This window comes from Homo sapiens, chromosome 4 (assembly GCF_000001405.40).
Source record: "Homo sapiens chromosome 4, GRCh38.p14 Primary Assembly".
NCBI lineage: Eukaryota > Metazoa > Chordata > Mammalia > Primates > Hominidae > Homo > Homo sapiens.
Genome location: NC_000004.12, coordinates 81,881,039 through 81,888,676, shown reverse-complemented (window position 1 = coordinate 81,888,676; position 7,638 = coordinate 81,881,039).

Genomic DNA, 7,638 nt, shown 5'->3' with positions numbered 1-7,638 from the left:
AAATGACTATATAAATGGAAGTCTAGGCTTCATCCTGTACTAATTAGGGTGGTGCTAGTGCTACAACAAGTAAGCCCCTAAATTAAAGTGACTTTGCACAACAAAAGTATAGTTATCACATATAAATAGTCTAATGTAGTGTTCATGGTTGATGGTGACTGTCCTCTACTTGGTGATTCATGGATCTGGGCTCCTGTCTCGTGGCTGTGCCTTCCCCTAGGTCTTGAGACCACTGCATATGGTTGGCAGGCAGAGAAGGGAACATGAAGAATGTCCAAGTGACATATATCACTTATGTTCACATTCATGTAACTGGAAGTAGCCACATGACCTACCTAGGGATGAAGAGGACAGGAACATATGTCCTTGACTGGACAGTTTCCTCAAAGAGACCACTCAACATATGGATGAGATATATGGATTCTAGTGACAGCTAATCATTTCTTCCACATCCAACTTTAGCACTTCCTACCTGTGTGATCTCAGGCAAGTTCATAGCTTCTCTAAGTTTCTTGTTTTCTTACTTATAAATGGGGATAATATAATCCTGTAAGGATGTTGTAAATATTAGATGATAACGGTGTATTTGAAGTATGCAGCAGTAGAGCTTAGCATATGCTTTATATATAAGACCTGTTATAATATTGTTACTTTTCATATTTTGATTCGGTTAAGATACTTAAGACACTTTAATGTGTTAACATTTATTTTTCTTTAACCATGATCATGGCACATGCAAAGTTACGGCAATCCAAAGAGAACATATAGTTTCTTGTCTTAAGGCAGAAGTAGTGGAAACTTTTAGATTAATGCTCCTACTGGGGCCATGGCACATACTAAGGGTAAGGTAAGGTATGATACCCATTTGGTAGTGTGGACTTTAGACAAAAATCACAACTTTCATTAAACAAAAATTTTAAATAAATTAAAAATTTTATTTTAGTTTCAGGAGGTACATGTGCAGGTTAGTTACATGGGTATATTGGATGGCATTGAGGTTTGGGGTACAAATTGTCACCTTAGCCAGGTAGTGAGCTTAGTACTCAATGGATAGTTTTTCAGCCCTTCCACCTCCTTCCCCTCTCTCCCCTCGGTAGTAGTCCCCAGTGTCTAATGTTCCCATCTTTATGCCAATGAGTACCTAGTGTTTAGCTCCCACTTATAAGTGACAACATGCAGTATTTGGTTTTCTGTTGCTGCATTAATTTGCTTAGGATAATGGCCTCCAGCTGCATCCAAGTTGCTGTAAAGAACATGATTTCATTCTCTTTTACGGCTATATAGTATCCCATGGTGTATATGTACCACATTTTCTTTATCCAATTTACCATTGATGGGCACCTAGGTTGATTCCATATTTTTGCCATTGTGAATAGTGCTGTGATGAACATACAAGAGCATTTGTTTTCTAGGTAGAATGATTAATTTCTTTTGGATATATACCCAGTAATGGGATTGCTGGGCCAAATGGTAGTTCTGTTTTAAGTTCTTTGAAAAATCTCCATACTTCTTTCCACAGTGGATAAACTAATTTACATTCTCACCAGTAGTGTGTAAGCATTCCCTTTCTTCTGAAGCCTCACCAGCATCTCATTTTTTGACTTTTTAATAATTGCAATTCTGACTGGTGTGAGATGGTATCTCATTGCGTTTTTGCTTTATATTTCTTTGATGATTAGTGATGTGGACCATTTTGTCATATGATTGTTGGCTGCTTGCATGTCTTCTATTGAGATATGTTTGTTCCTGTCTTGTGTTCGCTTTTTAATGGGGTTGTTTTTTGCTTGCTGAATTGTTTAAGTTCCTTACAGGTTCTGGATATTAGATCTTTGTCAGATACATAGTTTGCTACTATTTTCTCCCATTCTGTAGGTTTTCTGTTTATACTGTTGGTATTTTCTTTTTTTCTGTGCAGAAGCTCTTTAGTTTAATTAGGTACCTACTACTTGTTTGTTTTTGTTTGTTGCAATTGCTTTTGAGGACTTAGTCATAAGTTATTTCCCAAGGCCAATGTCCGGAATGGCATTTCCTATGTTTTTTTGTAGGATTCTTACAGTTTGAGATTTTACATTTAAATCTTCAATTCATCTTGAGCTAATTTTTGTTTACTGTAAAATGTAGGGGTCCAGTTTCATTCTTCTGCATATGGCTAGCCAGCTATCCCAGCACCATTTATGGAATAGGAAGTTCTTTCTCCATTGCTTATTTTTGTTGATGTTGTTGAAGATCAGATGGGTGTAGGTATGCAGCTTTAATTCTGGGTTCTGTATTCTATTCCATTGGTCTATGTGTCTGTTTTTGTACCAGTACCATGCTGTTTTGGTTATTGTAGCCTTATAGTGTAGTTTGAAGTCAGATAATGTGATTCCTCCAGCTTTGTTCTTTTTGCTTAGAATATCTTTGGCTATTCTTTTTTGTTCCATATGAATTTTAGAATAGTTTTTTCTAATTCTTTAAAAAATGACATTGGTCATTTGGTAACAATAGCATTGAATCTGTAGATTGCTTTGGGCAGCAGGGACATTTTAATGATATTGATTCTTCTAGTCCATGAGCATAGAATGGTTTTCTATTATGTTATCTGTGATTTCTTTCAGCAGTGATTTGTAGTTTTTATAGAGGTCTTTCACTTCCTTGGTTAGATGTATTCTTAGATAATTTATTTTTTCTGTGTGTGGCTATTGTAAATGGAATTACATTCTTGATTTGGCTCTCAGCTTCAACATTATTGGTGTATAGAAATGCTGCTGATTTTTGTACATTGTTTTTGTAACGTGAAATTTTACAGAAGTCAGTTATCAGTTCAAGGAGCTTTTTGGCAGAGTTGTTAGAGTTTTTTAAGTATAGAGTCATACTGTCAGTGAAGAGAGATAGTTTGACTTCCTTTTCATATTTGGATGCCCTTTATTTCCTTCTCTTGCCTGATTGCTCTGGCTAGGACTTCTAATATTATGTCGAATAGGAGTTGTGAGAGTGAACAGTCTTGTAAAAAGAATAATTTTCTTTTGAATATTTACTGCAGATCTGCTAAGAGAAATTACATATTATCACTGTGAAAGGTTGATTGTCTTGTAGGCTTACCCCATCCTAGTGGAGCTAGATGGGATGGAGTTTTTACAAACTTGTCTCATAAACCAAAGGGAATAAGAACCAGGACACTGGGGAAAGGAGATCAAAGGAATGTAAGGGCTCTGGGTCATGGGAAAAGAAGAGAAGGGAAGGAAAGGGAAGGGAGAAGTGAGGAAAGCAAATGGAGCTGTGATGGGTCACCGAGATTTTCCTCTCAGAACTGAATTACTCAGTCTCCAGATGCTAACAGTGCGCTGGCTGCTGAAGGCGAACAGCTGAGTCCTCTGTCAGAAGTTGCCCTTGCTTGAAGGCAGCTGCTTAGCCCAAGGTTACAACCCTTCTCTAATCAAGTTGGCACTGCCAGGACTCATCGTAGGCATTACTGAAGGGTCATCCCGGCTTGGTAGTTCCTTGTGGAGTTGGCTGAAGCTTCTGTTGCAATCAAGTGCAACTTCTCCTTCTGCTCAGGCCTGTTTCTCTTATCCTTCACAGCTGTGGTTCTTTAAGCACTTCTCTACAAAGTTTCTGAATGCAGATCTCCATCTTACAGTCTGTTTCCTGGAGAACTGGACCTATGAGAATAGAGAAGGGAAAGGAAGAGAAGGGAAAGTAAGGAAAGTAAAAGAAAGGGGTGAGAACCCAAAGGAGAGGGGATTTTTCCTTGTAGACCATCATATGCAGTCATTCCTGAAGGCATCTAAATTGAAAGACCCCTTCCTGTTAACCTCCAGGAAAATTACTCAGAATAGTTAGACAAACGACTCCAACTTGAAGTAAAGGACTCTTTGTACCTTCTTCTGGATTCCCTTGGTGTGCTTGCTCAGCTAACATTGAGATTATGTAATAATTTAATAATTTTAATAATTTAATAATTCTGCTCACCTTCCACTATAAGGGCTAGTACTGGGTTTAGGTAGTAATTCTGTATACAGCCTGCTTTGTTACAAAATCTGTTTTCTCCATCCTCTCCCTGCTCTGCACCATAGTCGAACTTAACCAGCTCTGCTGTGAACAGAGCAACACTGTATGTGCAGAAGAAAATGTATTTGTTAGAAGAAAAGGGAAAAATTGTACTTATGGTTTCTATAGTGAGGAGCTTCCACCAAGAGGCCTTACGCTTCTCTCTCCTGCTAGTAGGATATGGAAGTGGGTTTCATGGTCTTCCATACCAAGCATACAGTGGGCCTGCAAAAGTTAAATTTTAAAATACATTATACTGGCCCTGTAATCAGTATGGTCTTACTAGCTGGGGTGAGAGGGATTTGCTGGAAACACAACTCTGAGACTGGGGAAGGTGGGGCCCCATGGACTACAAATCCACATCCTCATACATGTCTGCTTAAAACCATTAACCTTCAGGCATTCTCAGTTAGCTTTATCTATTTGCTGCCATTTATGGACTTGTTTCCTAATAAGGGCTCCCACTTGAAGGATACCGTTAATATTCTACGATTTCCTTCTATTTCAAGAAATTCTGTTTTCTTTGTGGGTTTGCCACTATGAGATTCAATTTCCCTGATAGATGTGTGTTTTCTGCCCTCCCTTGTGTGATTAATTCAGAGGAAGCATTTATCTGTTGTGATCTAAATGTGTATTTGTTTTACCCTGAACCAACAAGACAATTACAAATGTTGTCTTGCCTGCAACCATAGGCTTAGAAATGCAGTTGTCACAATGTAAGCCGCAAAGCATGTGACTTCGGGGCTCTGTGCTGACACTTGACTAGCTGAATACATGCAGAAGCCAGAAAGTGGAAAATTTTTTACTGGCGATGACGAATGATTTTCTGCCCTGCAGAACTGGCAATGGACTTTGCTTGGACCTTAATTTGACCCAGAGTTGTTCCTATAAGTATGCAGAGTAACATGACTGTCTCACTTCCCTACAATACTATATGCCTGGGGAAACTCCAACAATATTAATTGTGTGGAAGTGCCCTGACTTCTCCCACCTGCCTCAGGGTTCTCATGGACTCTAAAAGCTCTGATGGGCCCCAGCATCGGAGACAGACTCTGAGACTGAATGGATCTTGAGCAAGCAGCTCATCCTGTGTTGAGGACCTGGGATAGGGCTATTGCTCACAAAGGAAAATTCAGGGATGGAGCAGCTCCATTGATATCCTGGGGAAGGTGGGGCCCCATGGACTACAAATCCATATCCTCGTACATATCTGCTTAAAACCCAGTAGCCCTCTGCTGTCATGTGCTTAACATTCAAAACAAATTCTTTACTGCTTTCAGGGCCAGGCCAAATAAAGTTCTGAAGGCAAAGACGATAATGAAAAATACTGGTAACTGTCCCATCTTTGTTATTAAAGCTGAAAAAATATGACTTAGATGGTACCCTTCATAGTGACAACCCTGAGTATCTAATGCTATCTTGAGATGGTTCCTCAGGGAGCAGTTTTATGTCATTTTCTTGTAACTGTCACTCTAATGTGCTGAAGTGAAGCTTTATTGTCATTTGCATATTCTGAAAGTTTACTGAATTTTAAAAATGTGTGCCTGAGAAATAGCTTGTCTTGATTTATTTAGGAATTTGGATTTTTTTTTTCCTGGTTGGAAATGCCACAAACCTGGCTGCTACACTGATCATTTATTTAGTATAGCTTTATGTGGAGTTAGTCCAAAGAGTTAGGATTTAAAAAGGTATGCTTTTAAAAGTCATGATTCCCATTCACAGTAAAATAAAGGAGTCATACGTGTAAGAAAATACTTGGAGTCTGGAATTCCCAGTATAACGCTATGGATTAAGTGTTCTAAGAGCAGGCAAGAAAGTGAAGGGGAGCATTGACCATGTCAGCTTGAGGTACTTTCACAGTGGGAGTGGCATTTAAAGTCGTTTTTGAAGGAATAAGTAGGAGTTTGGAGGATGAAGAAAGATAGCAGAGACCACTCCAGACAAGGGACAGAGTATGAAAAGGCAGGAGATACAACACAGGGGGAGGGTGCTTGTGGATCTGAAAAGTGTTCTGTGGCCAAGAGGGTACATAGAGATTGTAAAGAAGCTGTATATGATTGCCTGAGGGATTTACAACAGACACGTGGGGCCATGGGAGGCTTTTAGGCAGGAGAATGAGTCAAATACTACATAGAGTAAGGTGACTGCACCTTTAAGAACCACCAGTGAGGGACTTGAACCACCAGTGAGGAGCAAGAAGGGAGGTGTGAGGTCCTAACTTCCTGATTCACTGGCTTCCTGCATGCTCCAGGGTTCTTCCTGTCCTGGTGCAGGAGGTATGGTTCTACTTTCAGCATTGGACAGAGGAGCTTTTTAGATCACAGGAAAGAATGTATGATGATGGAAGCTGTTCCTGGAAGCTTAGCTTAGTTTATGCCTTTTTCTTTAGTGATTGTGTTAAGCATTTAATACCTGACAATAAAATATTGTTTTGCTTAAACTAGCTATCATAGTATCTGTCATCTACAACTGGACTCAAAATGATACAGCATCCCACCAGGCCTGCAGGCTGAGCTAGGAAGCCAAGAAAGAGACAGCTGAGTTTTGTCAGACTTGATGAGTGGGGAGTAGGAACCAGGGCACATATGCAAGTGGAGATGGCTCATAGCCAGGGACGAAGACAAGTGAAACTAGGTGGAGACAGAGCTGGGGAGGGTGGGAATGCCTCCTGGCACTGGGCGTCTTTGTGAAGTTAAGGGTTGCTTTCACTGGATGTCAATAGGTGAGGCATACCTTGGCATTAATAAGGAAAACATGCCAATAATTTTGTGAACCTCCCAATATGCTATCACTGTGGTAACATTTAAATCTGATCACAGAGGGCGGTAAAGCATGATTAAAAAATTAAATGAACCTATTTTACTTTATTTTATTTTGAGACAGGGTCTTACTATGTTACCCAGGCTGGAGTGCAGTGGCACAATCATGGCTCACTGCAGCCTTGACTTCTCCAGACTCAGGTGATCCTCCCACCTTAGCCTCCTGAGTAGTTGGGAGTACAGTTGCATGTCCCCACTCCCGGATAATTTTTTTTGTATTTTTTTGTAGAGACAGGGTTTTGCCAAGTTGCCCAGGCTGCTCTTCAACTCCTGAGCTCAAGTGATCCACCTGCCTTGGCCTCCCAGTCCGAAGAGCTAGGATTACAGGCAGGAACCACAATGCCTGGCCCCTCTTTCAGATATTTAGTAAAAATTGTTTTGTGTATGTGATGAGAAATAGAAAAAAAACAAAGCTGCAGAGAGATGCTAGTTTGCTAGTGTGCTAGGCAGTTGCTAGATTCACTCACCAAGTCCATCCTCAACAAGCTGACTGATCTTTGCAAGACATGGCCCTTTAAGGTTCACTTGCATTTGAAACCACAAATGTTAAATTCATAAATACTAACTGTCTGTGTTTTTGTATGTTAGTTGTAGGCTTGTTTTTTAGTTAGACTAATAGATTTGAAAGTAAATCTGCCAGACAAATACTTTTCTTTTTAAGTACTTTGTGTGTTGGTTGGAAGCTTGTTATTTAACAAATACCTGACAACTAAATTATTAAGTCATATAGCCTTAATAGTCTATGGATAAAATTGAAGTCATTTCATTATTAATGTTTCATTTACAAAGC